The sequence below is a fragment of the Homo sapiens genome, chromosome 6 (genome assembly GCF_000001405.40).
Source record: "Homo sapiens chromosome 6, GRCh38.p14 Primary Assembly".
NCBI classification, from domain to species: Eukaryota; Metazoa; Chordata; class Mammalia; order Primates; family Hominidae; genus Homo; species Homo sapiens.
In genome coordinates, this window is record NC_000006.12 from 146,695,555 (window position 1) to 146,711,484 (window position 15,930).

Here is a 15,930-nt window from a genome sequence, read left to right on the forward strand (position 1 = left end):
CCTGTATGGTAGGCACTAGGCACATGGGGCTATGTAAAATTTTTTAAGTTAATTAATATTATATAAAATTAAAAATTAATTTCCTTAGTTGCATTAGCAACATTTTAAGTTCTCAGTAGTCAAATGTTCTAAGTGAACATTTTCATCATTGCATAAGTTTCTTCTAAATATTAAAAGGAATGAACAAGTGACCTGTCCATAATTGTAGCATTTTACTATAACAGTATTATATTATTTTTAGTTTTTATTATTTTAACCCATATTACTATTCATAGATTAAAATGAAAAGCTCATTCATTCATATAATGCAACATAACTAAGTGGCATTTTCTTTGCCCTATTGAGAAGACCAGTTGAATGTAATTGTCCTAATAGTTAAAGCATTTCAACTTCAACCTTTTAAATCAATTTTATTTAATAAATAAAAATGTATGCTTTCATGACAAATATACTAAAATTTGTGTCATTGCAGTGATTATACAAAAGCAATATTTCTTAAGTTCCCTTTTATAGTAAGAAATACTTTTTTTTTTTTTTCCCGAGATGGAGTCTGCTCTGCTGCCCAGGCTAGAGTGCAGTGGAGCAATCTTGGCTCACTGCAACCTCTGCCTTCCAGGTTCAAGTGATTCTCCTGCATCAGCCTCCCAAGTAGCTGGGATTGCAGGTGTGTGCCACCACACCCGGCTAATTTTTGTATTTTTTGTAGAGATGGGGTTTCACCATGTTGGCCAGGCTGGTCTCTATCTCCTGACCTCAGGTGATCCACCCACCTTGGCCTCCCAAAGTGCTGGGATTACAGGTGTGAGCCACAGTGCCCAGCCAGAAATACTTATTTTAAGATAAATTTTGAATTGGTTGAAATAAGGCCTACTTCAAATGTTCTTTAGCATCATAAAACTTAAAAAAATAAATTAAATGAGCCCCCTTATTCCAAGGATATTTAAATAAAGTATTGAGGGGACACAGAGGATTAACTAGAAAGGGCACTGTTTTTGTGAGGAAAAATGTATTAATTAATCAATGAAAACTCTGACTGTAAAAATAAAGTGATATGAAAATATTATATGTAAAACAAAGATACTATTGAAAAATGCCCTCACTTTTCTCTTTCACATTGTTTGTTTTACTGCTTTGGTGAGATGTCAAAGCTGCTCAAATTATGTTCCTAAAAGGAGTAGACAATGTAAGAGTGCAAGCTGGTGAGAGATTAAAGGTGGTGATAAGAAACTGGGATATTGCCTGGAGACAGAAGAGAGCCAGAGAGGCTTGGTGTATTTCATATTTAGAAGTACTCTAATTTTTTTTCTTGTTTCTAGTAATTATGCTGATGGGAAAATCTGTCTGTCTTTACAGATTTGGCTACTGTTTTAGAACAACAAAAAAGCATCTTACCTACTTTAATCATTAGCACTGATGAATATTTTCGGTTATTACCAGCTAATTAAATTACAAGATTAAATGATTGTCATAGAAATGTGGAAAACTGGGTGTGTCACTCATAGGGAAAAAAAAGACTAACTAAATACAACAGCAAAGACAATGAAGAACAATGAAGAGAAAGGGGGAAGGAGGAGGAAGAGGAACCCACACTCACTAATATTTGAACATCACAATAGGGATAGAAAGAAAGACTGTAAAGCTGGGTCTGAAGTTTTTATTGAATCAGAAGTGACCATGAACTTCACAAATAGCAATAACTGGTGTATTGGGTGATATGAGTGCAGGGTATGATGGTTGCCGTTAAAATTGTGGTAATTTTTAATGCAGCAATAGGTGGCTAATACATGGTTATACACATATATCAAAGACTAGCAAATTTACACTTTGAATTTGTGCAGTTAACTGTACTTCAATTATCCTTCAATAGAGTGGTGAAAATTTAAAAAAGAAAGTATGTAAAGTGGTTTAAAAAATAAAATAGAAATTCTAGAAGCAAGGAGTATAATGACTAAGACCCAGAACTCAATAGATGTGCTTAAGAACACATTAGATACAGACTAAAGGAGAATAAGCAAAGTTGAAAATAGATTAGAAGATAATATCCAGACTAAAGCATGGAGACAAAAAAAATGGGAAAAAAAAGTACAGTTAAGACCTATGAGACACGTTGAACATGACCAACGTACTTGCCAGTGGTTCTCAGAAGTAGGAGATAAAGAGATTTGGAAATAATTAAAAACTCAAATCTTAACGGCCAAAAGAATCCCTAAAGGGAAAAGTTTAAGTCAAGACTCAGGAAGTCCTAAAAAGACTAAGTAATATAAATACAAAGAAAACTGCAGCTAGACACATCATAGTAAAGCCAAAGACAAATATAATGCAATAATATAATGCAATAAAAGTGAAATAAAGACTGCTATACAAAGCAATATGGACAAATCTCACATACACTCACAAAATTTAGACCAAAGAAGTCTGGTACACAAATTACGTGGTTAGTTTTCAGCTATCCTATTAATATACAGTAAGAAAAGAACAATTTTAAAAAGCAATATATGGTGTTGGAAGTAACCAATGTGGTTATCTGTGGTGAGGAGAGTTGGCCATGATTGTGACATGCTTCTGGCAGGGTTTGTGGATTGCTAGTAATATGAAAAATGCTTGATCTGAATAATGGTGATATGACTGTGTTTACTTTGTGATATTTCAGCAAGTGTACATTCATTGTTTAAGAACATTTAAACATGTATTTTAAGCTTCAATAAAACTTTATTAAAATCATTGAATGGTCTGTACCATCGGTCACACATATAATGGCCATTAAATATGGCTTTAGCCTTCTCTTGGATAGACTATAATCTATGATAGGAATATAAGCTGATAAGAGAAAAGCAGTCAAAATTTAGATCTGTACCGTGTTCATTGTGCTTTCCTACTTTTAGATACTCTTTACATCACAGGCAGTTAATTTACACTTTTATTTATTCTATTTAAGTTTATAATACTAAAGATATTCTTCAAATATTTTACCTTTAAGGTTTTGTCAGTTCTATGTATCGACAACTGAACATTGAAAAGTGGGTAGGGAGGGAGCACTGCACAGCACTGCTAGACAAATATTGGCAGTTGGCAATGTCAAGCCATGCGGGACAGCTTTATAACCAGAAAAAAACATTTCCTGCTACTTTCGTTTTAAAATTTTGCTATTGTTGCAAATTAATAAATCTAGTTTTTTTCTCAAACTTTTGGGGTTTTGTTTTGTTTTGTTTTTTGAGATGGGGTCTTGCTCTGTTACCCGGCTGGTCTCAAACTTCTGAGTTTGAGGCAAGTGGTGCCTCTTGCCTCAGTCTCTTGAGTAGCTGGGACTACAGGCATGTTCCACCATGCCCAGCATAAAATTTGTGTTATAATTTCTAATAAATCAATGTAATAAACCTGATCACATTGGTGATCAGGTTTCAACGTCCGAATTTTGGAGGAACACAAACATTTAGTCACACACAGAGTTTTTCTAAACTTAACATAAAAATGTTAATGCTTCATGATTTCTGATTAATATCATGCTTAAGCTACCCATTGTTTTAGTCAGGGTTCTCCAGAGAGACTGAATTAATGCGGAATATAGACATCGACATAGATATAGATAAAGATACAAATATAGATATATGACAGGAGGTTCATTAAAGGAATTGGCTCATTGGTTATGGAAGCTGAGAAGACTCAAGATAGGCTGTCTGCAAGCTGGGGAACCAGGGAGGTCAGTAGCACGTGGTTCAGTCCAAATCTAAAGGCCTCAGAACCCAGGAAGCTGATGGTGTAACTCTCAGTCTGAAGACAAAGGTAACGAGAATCCAGGGAGTTGTTGGTGCAAGTCCCAGAGTCCGAAGGGCAGAAGCCCTGGACTTTTGATGTCTAAGGGCAGGAGAAGAAGGGCATCCCAGCTCCAGGAGAGAAAGTGAATTCACCTTTCCTCTGTCACTTTCTTCTGCCCAGGCAGAAGATGGGTGTAATTTGATGACACCCATCTACATTGAGGGTGGATCTTCTCTCAATCCACCGACTCGCACGCCAATCACCTCTGGAAGCACTCTCACAGACACACCCAGAAATAATGTTTTACTGGTCATCTAGGCAGCCCTCAAGCCAGCCAAGATGGCACCTAAAATTCACCACCACACTCTCTAAGATGATGATTTTGCTATTCAAAATAATTTTTGTTTATCTCTCAGCTAGTTGAGTTTGCATATCAGAGATTTGTGGGTTGTAAGAAATAGAACTGCAGACCTCAAGGACAAATTTTCTTACAATTTGAATAGTCATAGCCAGCCTTTTAGAATCTCTATGCCAATAGGGACCCCAAATGGATTAGTTTCATAACCTAAATTCCCTGAGTTACTTACTTTTTATCTTCTTTCAGCTGTATTACTTGATTAAAGTACATGAAATTCTAATACCCAGATACAGGTGGCTTCATCACCTGATTGGATTCGACTAATCTATTCACTGCTTGAATCTGTTATTAGTTCATTTACATATTCATCTCTGACAGAGCCAAATCAGAGATATGTGGATGGCATTTCATCCTACGTGATAGACATGCCCCTTGTCCTGCTTTGCTGTCGCAGATCAACATAAGAGCAAGCCTGTTTTTTAGTGAGCCTTTGAAAGTGACTGCTATCACAACTTTCTGTCTTAGGAACACTGTCTTTGTAGCAACACTCCAGGTTTACCCATTCTTGGCTCCTGGCCATGTCTGGTAGAATTGGAGACTCAACCAAGTTTGTGCTACCCTCTAGTGGCAGTTTTGTGTAAATCAGAGACGTTTAGTTACAAGTGAATTTTTACAGATCACTAACTGGAAAAAATATCCAAGTTGATGAAGTCTATGTACATGGAATTTATCTTTAAAACACACTTACTTAAAAAATACATATACTACAAAAATGTCTTTACGTACCTATAAAATTCTAGCGATGGCAAGGGCAATTTGGAGTCATATCAGCCAATTACTTGAAAGGAAGACTGTATGCTCGGGTAGCTGGTATGAATGTCACAGTTATAAACTTAAGTGCTCAAGACTCATAATTAAATTTCTGACTCCTAGTTCTGTTTCACTGATACATCACTCTGATAATTAAATCAATTCCACATATCAAATTTCTGTTTTGATCATCAAAATTCAAAGATGACCACCAAAGCTTTGAAACAAATAGTGTTCTAGAATTTTTACATCAATTTGTTGACTAATATACAGTATTTTTAGTAGCATAGAAAGATATCCAATGTTTTAACATGAGGTAAAAAACATTACTGGTAGTAAAAGAATGAGAATGACAAATAGAACACAATCAGAACTTTCTATTGTTGACAAAAATGCAGTTATTTATTAATAACTTTAAACAGAAGATCAAAATAACAGAAGTTTGGGGTTTTGTTTTCCTTTTAGGCATTTTGTGCGCTCCTTAATTAAGAAAGGAATACCTCCAGGATCTGATTTACCTTCCGTCAGTGAAACTGATGAAACTGCAACACATAGCCAGACAGACTTGAGTCAAATAACAAAAGCTACATCTCAGGTGACTATGTTACTCTTACTGTTGGCCCAACTCTTAATGAGACAAGATTTTTTTCCTTACATTGTGAAACATACTATACATACAAAAGAATGTATAACATGGATCTGAACAGTATAAAGAATAGTGTTAAAATAAATCTCTTATGTATCTATCACCTAGGTTAGAAAATAGTCATCTGCTATAGAAGTCCCCTGTGTGTTTCTTCTTGGTTGTATTTTCTGTCGGCCACTCAGATTTTGGTATTAAACAACTTCATATTTTTCTCATTTTGCCAATTATAATGTAACATCTTGTTTGTGAGATTCCTCCCTTTTGTTTCATGTCCTGTTCATTTCACTAACCAATGGTATTTATTGTATAAAATTATGCTACAAATGGTTTTTAGTCTATCACAGTGTTAGTGGCTGTATTAGTTGCTTCTTGTTTCTATTGTAAGAAATATTCTTTCTCACTATTCTTGCTTTTTGTTTCTTACTATTGTAAGCAACGGTACCATGATTTTTCTCAAATGTCCCTTGAAACAGGTACAAGAGTTTCTTTAGTTTCAGGGTTCATAACCCTTTACGTGCTATGGCTCCCCTTAACAATTTTTTAAAACTCTAACAGGTTGAAAACAACTCATCTTTTTCTCCATATTAATTAACTGAGAATTATTGATAAGGAACATAATTAGCACTGTGAGAGAACATACAACTTCACTATTTGGTGGTTGAATGACTACTAAGCATAGTTGCTATAGTTACCTAGCTATATAGGTCACAGGAGTATCTGTAGATGGGGAGATACGACCACATGAAATACAGCAACAGGTCTAATACCTGCTGTAATTTCAAAGTAGTAATCAGCTTACATATTCTTGTAAGATATTTGCAACAACTATAATATAATATAAAATATTGTGACATTTTGTGGATAGGGTCAGTTATTGCTCTCAACATTGTGACTACTTGCCTGTATTGACAAATTTGTAATTGAAAAAAAAATGCTGAGTGTCAAACATGTAATGTCTTTCTAACCATCCACATTAATGGATTTGTGAAATTTAACTATGAGCTTCATTGGATATCATATTAGGAAACCCTGTTCTAGGATATGAATCTAGGAGTCTAGTTAATAGGGCATTCATTCACCTCCTTGACCTTACAATAAAATGCCAAACCATTTTCTGAATGGGTGTAGTAATACCCACACCTGTCAACACCAAGAGTTTTCTTTATGACAGCATTTGATACTGTATGATGTTTGCTAATGTGGTGGGTATAAAATGGTATTTTATTTTTTATTATAAATGCATAATGTATTGACATATTAACCCATATATGCCTGAGGTTGCTATTTTTGGAATTTGAAAAATCAGACCTTGGCAATGACCTTGAACAGTAGGATGCTGAGCTTTCCAATGTAAAACAAATGTAAAGAAATCTTGCCTCCATTTATGTACCTCTCTATCCCATTTTCACCATTCTGCCCTCCGTAGGAAACTTTCAGGATTTTTTAATGTAAATGCAAAGAAACACACACACAATATTTCACAACTTCCTTTTTTTCTACTCAAAATTAAATAATCTTAAAAATACTTAATATATGCTGGAGATAATTCCAATCTACACCTAAAGAGTATCTTCATTCTTAAAGCTTCATAATTTTTTATTATGTAAATGAACTGTAGTTTATTTCTATCAATCTCTATAGATGAAATCTTGGGTTGATTTTAATCTTTTGCTATTATAAATACTACTGCTATGAATGAATTTGTACATGTAGTTGGATTGTTTGGCCAACAAATACAATTCTATTGGAATTTTAAAATAATTATTGCTAAATATACACGATAAGATTACACCCAGGTTGTATGAATATTTCCTTATAGCCACATGGAGTGTGTAGGGATTTTTTAAAAATTTTGCCAATCAGATTGGTAAGAAAAAGTAGTTCATTTTGCTTTTCCATTGAACTGGTTGTTATTGTGACTGAACAGCTTTGTATACATTTACTGCCATTTCTGTTTGTGCTGCTGTGCAATGCCTGCTTATGTCTTTTGCCTAATTTCCATTTGGGTTGTATGTTCCTATTTTACCAATTCATAGATGTTCTTTGTGAAATATGGAGACTTATTCTTTATTAGATATGTATTTCATATGTTCTAAGTTTATCTTTTCAATCTTGTCTTTTTAAAATTTATTTTTAATCGATAAAAAATATATGCATTTATAGTGTAAAACATGATGTTTTGAAATATATATATAGCTGAATAACTAAATTGAGCTGATTAATATATGTATTACTTCACGTTCCTTTCATTTTTTGTTGTGAGAACACTAAAATCTTCTGTCTTATCAATTTTCAAGAATACATTAACTATAGACCCCGTGTTGCAAATCAGATCTCTTGAATTTATCTCTACTAACTGAAACTTTGTATCCTTTGACCAGTATTTTCCCAATCACCCACATCTAGCCCCTGGTAACTACCATTCTACTTAGTATCTATTTTTCTGTGTGTGGCTTATTTAACTTCACATAAGGTCCTCCAGGTTTATCCTAGTTATTGCAAATGATAAAGTTTCCTTCTTTTTAAAGGCTGAATAGTATTCTATTTTGTATATATACCATATTTTCCTTATCCATTCATCTGTGGATGGACAATTAGTTTGATTTCATATTTTGGCTTTGTGAATAATGCTATAATGAAGATGGGAAGGCAGGTATCTCTTTCTTCTTTGACACACTGATTTCATTTCCTTTGGATACACACTCAGAAGGAGGATTGCTGGATCACATGATTGCCCTATTTTTAGTTTTTTTTTTTCAACCTCCATACTGTTTTCTACAGTGGCTGCACCATTCTACCTTCTCACCAGCAATATACAAGGTTTCCCTTATTTCCACATTCTTACTAACACTTATTTTTGTATTCTCGATAACAGCCATTTTAACAGGTGTGAAGTGATATCTCACTGTGGTCTTAATTTATGTTCCTCTGATGATTAGTGATGTTGAGCATTTTTTAAAACACATACGTTGGCCATTTGTATGTCTTCTCCTGAGAAATGCCTATTCAGATTCTTCGCTCATTTTTCAATTGGGTTGTTTCCTTGATGATGAGTTGTTTGAGTTCCTTATATGTTTTGAATATTAACCTCTTATCAGATGTATGATTTACAAATATTTTCTCCCATTCTATAGATTGTCTCCTTATAATTGCTTCCTTTTCTGTGCAAAAAAAAAAAAATTTAGTTTGATGTAATTCCTTCTGTCTGTTTGCAATTGTTGCCTGTGCTTTAGGGATTATTTCTTAAAACTTGTTGCCCAGGCCAAGTTCTTGGAGCTTATCCCTTATGTTTTCTTCTAATAGTTTCATACATTCAGCATACATTCAGGTCTTAAAGTTAAGTTCTTAATGCATTTTGAGTTAATTTTTGTATATGGTATGAGGTGACATTCCTCTTTTGTAAATGGATATCCCAAAATCATTTACTGAAGAGACTCTCCTTTCTTCCATTGTGTGTTCTTGTCAATCTTTTTCGACCATAATAGTTTGAATTTATTTTTGACTCTCTACTCTGTTCCATTGGTCTATTTTTATGGTGATATATGCTGTTTGGGTTACTATAGCTTTGTAGTGTATTTTGAAGTCAGGTAGTGTGATGCCTCCTGCTTTGTTCTTTTGCTTTAGCTATTTAGGGTCTTTTGTGGTTTCACATGGATTTTAGGATGTTTTTAATATATCTGTCTAAAATCTCATCAGAATGTTGGTAGATTACATTGAATCTGTACATTGCTTTGGCTAGTATGTGAAAAATCTCATCAGAATGTTGATAGATTACATTGAATCTGTACATTGCTTTGGCTAGTACAGCCATTTTAACAATATGAATTCTTTCAGTTCATGAACATGGGACATCTTTCCATTTATTTGAGTCTTATTTTATTTCATCAATGTTTTATTTTATAGTATTCAGAATATAGGTACCTCCTTAGTTCAATTTATTCCTAAATATGTTTTGGTAGCTATTGTAAATGGAATTATTTTACTGATTTCTATTTTTGTTTTTTGTATGTTGATTTTGTATCCTGAAACTTTATTGAGTTTATATATTAGATCTAACAGGATTTTTAATGGGGTTTTAAGGGGTTCTATATATGATTGTATTATCTGAAAAGAGGAAAAATTTAGCTTCTTTCTTTCCAATTTGAGTGCCTTTTCTTTATTTTGCCTAATTGCTCTAGCTAGGACTTTAGGTGATATGTTGAATAGAAGTGGTTATTTTCCTTGTCTTACTCCTGATCTTAGAAGTAAAGCTTTCAACTTTTCACTGTTGAGTATGTTAGCTATGAGTTTGTCATATATGGCCTTTGTTGTGTTGAAGTACATTCTTTATATTAGTTGTAAGTTGAGAGGTTTTTTAATCATAAAAGGATGTTGAATTTTGTGAAATGCTGTTTTTCCATCTATTCACATGATTGCATGGTTTTTATCTTTTATTCTTTTAATGTGGTATATCATACTTGTAGATTTGCATATGTCAAACCATCCTTGCATCTCTGGGAAAACTCCCACTTAATCATGGTAAATGATCTTTTTAATGTGCTGTTGAATTATGTTTACTAGTATTTTGTTAAGGATTTTTGCATGTATGTTCATCAGCGATATTGACCTAAGGTTTATTTTCTTATAGTGTCCTTGTCTGGCTTTGGTATTAAGATAATGCTTGCCCTGTATAATTAGTTTGAAATTATTCTCTCTTTGTCAGATTTTTTTGGAAGACTTTGAGAAGGATGGTATTAATTATTCTTTAAATATTTGGTAGAATTCAGCAGTGAAGCCATAAGGTCCTGGACTTTTCTTTGATAGGAGACTTTTTATTTTAAGATATAGGGTCTTTCCCTGTTGCCAAGGCTGGAGTGCAGTGGCATGATCATAACTTAACTGCAGCCTTGAACTCCTGGGCTCAAGCAGTCTTCCTGCCTTACCCTCCCAAGCAGCTGTTACTACAGGCATGCACCACCACACTTGGTTAATTTAAAAAAAAAAAATTACAAATGGGGTCTTGCTATGTTGCCTAGGCTAGTCTCAAACTCTTGGCTTCAATCCTCCTGCCTTGGCCTCCCAAAGTTCTGTAATTACAGGCATAAGCATTGCACCTGGCCAACATGGGACAGTTTTTTGTTTTTTTTTTCTTTTCTTTTTCTTTTTTTTTTCTTTTTTGAGATGGAGTCTTGCTCTGTGGCCAGGCTGGAGTGCAGTGGCACAATCTCGGGTCACTGCAACCTCTGCCTCCCAGGTTCAAGTGATTCTCCTGTCTCAGCCTCTCGAGTAGTTGGGGCTACAAGTGCATGCCACCACACCCAGCTAATTTTTGTATTTTTAGTAGAGACGAGATTTCACCATGTTGGCCAGGATGGTTTTGATCTCCTGACCTCGTCATCCACCTGCCTCAGCCTCCCAAAGTGCTGGGATTACAGACATAAGCCACAGTTTTTATTACTAATGTAATCCCCTTGCTCATGGTGTTCTGTTCAGATTTTATATTTTTTATGATTCAGTCTTGGTAACTTGTATAATATGTCTAGAAATTTGTTTCTTCTAGGTTATCCAATTGGTTGTCATATAATTATACATAGTAGATTCTTAGGATTCTTTGTATTTCTGCAGTATCATTTGTAATGCTTCCTTTTTTATTTCTGATTTTGTTTGAGTCTTTTCTCCTTTTTCTTAATTAGTCTAGCAAAAGGTTTGTCAGTTTTGTTTATCTTTTCAAAGATCAGCTTAGTGTTTTTTTTTTTTTTTTTACTTTTCTTGTTTATTTCTGTTCTGAGATTTATTATTTCCTTTCTTCTACTAATTTTGGGTTTAGTTTGCTTTCTTTTTTTCTAGTTCCCTGAGGTGTAACATTATGTTTTAAATTTGAAATTCTTCTTTAAATTTCCCTCTTAGAGCTTCATTTACTGCATCCTATAAATTTTGATATGTTACTATGTCAATTTTCATTTGTCTCAAGATATTCTAAAAATTTCCTTCTTAATATCTCATTCAGAAGCACATTGTTTAGTTTCCATGTATTTGTGAATTTTCTGAAATGCCTCCTGTTGTTGATTTTTAGACTCATTCCATTGTGGTTATAAAAGGTAGTTATATGATTTCAATCTTCTTTAATTTGTTAAGACTTGCTTTGTGGCCTAACATATGAATATCCTGGAGAATGTTCCTTGTGAGCTTGAGAAGAATGTGTATTCCACTGCTGCTAGATGCAATGTTCTGTATATATCTGTTAGGTCCATTTGATCTAAAGTGTAGTTTAAGTCTGATGTTTTCTTTTGATTTTTTGTCTGGATGAGCTATCCTTTGCTGAAAGAGGAGTACTGAAGACTCCAAATATTATTGTATTGCAGTCTCTCTCCCCCTTTAGATCTATTAATATTGCTTTATACATTTAGGTGCTCTGATGTTGGATGCATACATATTTATAATTATTGTATCCTGTTAAGAAATTGACACCTTTATCATTATGAAATAACCTTATTTGTCTCTTTTTTACCGTTTTTGACTTAAAGTCTATTTTATTTGATATAAATATAGCTATCCCTGCTCTCTTTTGCCTTACATTTGCACGGAATATCCTTTCCCATCTTTTTATTTTCAGTCTATATGTGTCTTTAAGGTGAAGTAAGTCTCCTGTAGGCAGTATATAGTTGAGTCTTTGTTTTTTAAATACATTTTGCCACTCTATGCCTTTTGATTGGAGAATCTAATCCATTTACATTCAAGATGATTATTGGTAGGTAAGCAGTTACTACTGTTATTTCATTAATTTTTTTCTGGTTGTTTTGTAGGTCCTTTGTTTCTTTCTTCTCTTCTGTTTTCCTTTGTAATTAGGTTATGTTTTTAGTGGTTTGCTTTGATTTTATGTATCTACTATAGGTTGTAACTTTATGAATACCATGAGGCTTACATCTTATGGCTGTAACGGCATATTCTAAGCTGATAGCAACTTAACTTTGATCGCATACAAAAACTCTACACTTTTACTCTGTCTCTCTTATGGTTTATGTTTTTGATGTAACAATTTACAATCTCTTATATTGTATATCCCTTGACAAATTATTGCAATTATTATTATTTTAGTAATTTTAACCTTCATACTAAATTTTAACCTTCATACTAAAGATGTAAGTGATTTAAACATCACCATTACAGTATTAGAGTATTCTGAATTTGACTATGTACTTACTTTTACCAGTGAGTTTTATACTCTCATTTTTTAATGTTACTGATTACCATTCTTTTCTTTCAGCTTGAAGAATTCCCTGTAGTATTTCTCATAAAACAGATCTTGTGGTGATGAATTCCCTCAGCTTTTTTTGTTTGGGAAAGTTTTTATCTCCACTTCAGTTTTGAAGGACATCTTTTTTAAGTACAGTATACTTTCTTAGTATTATTTTTATTCAGTACCTTGACTATATTATCCCATTCTCTCCAGGCCTGTGAGGTTCCTACTAAGAAATTTGCTGAGAAATTATAACTCCTTATTTGCTTCATTTCTCTTGCTGCTTTCAGAATCCTCTCTTTGTCTTTGATTTTTGACAGTTTGATTACAGTATGTCTTGGTGCACAGTATTATTTGGATTAAATCTGATTTTGAAGACCTTCTACCTTCCTCTACCTGGATATATATAACTTTCCCCAGATTTGAGAAGTTTTCTGCTATTATTTCTTTAAGTAAGTTTCTACTCCTTTGTCTCTCTTTTGTCTTTTGTGAACTCCTATCACTCAAATATTTGCTCTTTTGATATTGCCCCATAAACTGTGTAGTCCTTTTTCATTCCTTTTCTTTTTTCCACTTTGAGTGCATATTTTCCAATAGCCTGTCTTCAATTTCACAGTTTCTTTCTTTTGCTTGTCTGCTTGATTGATTCTGCTGTTGACCTTCTCTTGCATTTTTAATTTCATTTCATTCATTGTAATGTTCACCTCTAGAATTTCTGTTTAATTTATTAAAATAATTCCAATCTCTTTGTTAAATTTCTTATCTTAGTTGTTCATTGTTTTCCAGATAGCACTTAATTGTGTTTTGCTATTTTTGAAGTTCACTGAGTTTCCTTAAAACAATCATTTCACATTCTTTGTCAGGCAGATTATAAATCTCTATTTCATTAGAGCTGGCTTTTGGTGCTTTATTTTGTTCTTTTGGTGGGGTCATGTTTCCATTATTGTTCTTGGTCCTTGTAACCACGAGTTGGTGTCTGTAAATTTAAGAGTAGTAAATTATTCTAATACTTGCAGACTGGCCTTGTCTGGGAAAGCCCTTCACCAGTCAGATCATCTAGAGATTCCTGGCAGGTTGCCCACAGGCAGGTTTGTTACTGTACTCCTTGAACAGGCTGGTCTAGTGCCTAGATCAGCAGGTGGGCAACCCTGGCACTTGCGTCTGCAGGATTGGGTCTAGAATGTATGTCCTTGGAAACCAGCCTGAAATCTGGTTCCACAGAGGCTAGACTGATACTGGCATAGACCTAGAGTACCAGCTTCTGCAAGGGTGGGCCTGGGGCCTCAGTTTATGGGGGCCAGCCCGCCACCAGGGTCTATTGGGTGGCCTGGACCCTAGGCCTGGTAGGGATCTACTTTACTGCTTTACTGGTCCAGCCTGTGTTTAGGACCAAGGCAAACTCCAGTTCTTACTTCCTTTTCCTTCTCCCAAGTAGAGGGTATCTCTCTTTTCCTGGGATTGGGAGTGATGTGTGTGATGCAAAACTGTCCTTACTACCTTCTTCAATGTGTCTTATTTCTGTGCTACATTCAGTTGCTATAACCTTTCACCAAGTTTCTTTAGCTCTTATGAAGATATTTTCTTATGTGGATTATTTTTCAAATTGATGTTTTTGCAGGGGGCAAATACAGGAAAGTCTTGTTCTTCCATATGACTGCTAAGAGCTCCTGAATATTGTGTCTTTGTATAAACAATTTTTTTATTTTTAATGTGGTTGAATTTATTTATATATTCATATATAAATCTGGTTCCTTAAGCCAGATATAGAAATCTCAATCATATATAATCATATTACATATATATATAAAATCATATTATGATTATATATGATTGAGATTTCTATATCTGGTTTAAGAAATTTGCCCTATTCTTAGGTCATAAAACTATTTTTCTAATCATCTTCTAAAATGTTATAGTTTTACTTTTATAAAATCCAATTAATTGGGAACTGATTTTTGTGTATGATATAAAATGATGAGACCAATTTTATTTTTTCCCATATAGATACACAATTGTTTTTAGAGGAATTCTTATGCAACTTTCAAACGTTATAATAAAATTTTGAGCCATTGCAATATGATAATGCTTGTAAATGTAGTTCTAAATTATAACAATAGATTCTTAGAGACAGAAGGTATCCATAAACTGATGTTCCAAATCATAATGAAACTTTGAAAAACTCCTCTTTAATTGGTTTGGCTCTTATTTGTTGAATGTGATAGCTTATGTGATGGTATAAGATACTCTGGAGGGCACATCATCACATACAGATGAACAAATCTATTAGTGTTAATTAGAAAGCAGAGATTAATAGGTGATTGAGGAGAATGAATATCTGTCAACATTTTTTGAAATTTTAAAAAAAAAATTTAAATTATTGATTGTATTCGTTTTAAAGAGACAAAGATTATCCAGAAGATAATCATAAAAAATAGCCAGCATGCCCTACACCTCCTCATTTTTCAGTCTTCTCCAGAGTCACCTACTTTTATTTTATTTAACTGCTTCTTCTGATACATATCTCCATAATTCTAAATAGTAGGCTTCATGAGGGCAGAGATATTTATTTTATTATATTTTGTTTCTCCCTCGGCACCTGTGAAAATGCCTAGCATATAGCAAACACCATGACATATTTGTTGAATGACTACATGCTATTTTATCTTGATCTGTTAATTTAGACGTTATCTCTTGACTTCCTGTTATGGGAGATAAAGATTTAGCTCACCTGAACTCACTTACTATCCCATATCTACACTTTCCCCTGTCTTCAAGATTTTGTCATTTCATAATTTTTGGTTGAAACAACATTCCTGTTTTGTAAGGATTATTACTGCTGAAGCAAATATGATAACATTTCTTACACAAGGTTTTATACAAGCAAATTACTGCACTTTTTCCTTTGCTCACTTTACTATAGGAAGCATTAGTAGGTCTTTCCAAACACTACAAAAATTATAACCTCTCTATCCATCATTTTCTACATAGTCAAATACATCAAATATTTTATAAATGCCTGTTGTTTTTTTTTTTTAAACCACCCCATGCACTCCTTTGCTGTCTTGCTTCAGTGCAAACTGAGAGAACTTTGCTCCTGGTACCTTTAGACTTCCTTTTGTCTCTCTCCTCTGATGGACTTCCTATTTT

General features: G+C 33.8%; 1 protein-coding gene across 1 annotated transcript in view; it reads left to right on the forward strand.

Moving 5' to 3' along the window:
* The window catches only part of ADGB (androglobin), a 216,491-nt gene that overhangs the window by 96,583 nt on the left and 103,978 nt on the right, over positions 1 to 15,930 (forward strand). Inside the window, exon 13 of the mRNA NM_024694.4 lies at positions 5,387 to 5,516. Coding sequence (NP_078970.3) covers positions 5,387 to 5,516 — 130 coding nt within the window. The remainder of the gene's footprint in view (positions 1 to 5,386; positions 5,517 to 15,930) is intronic.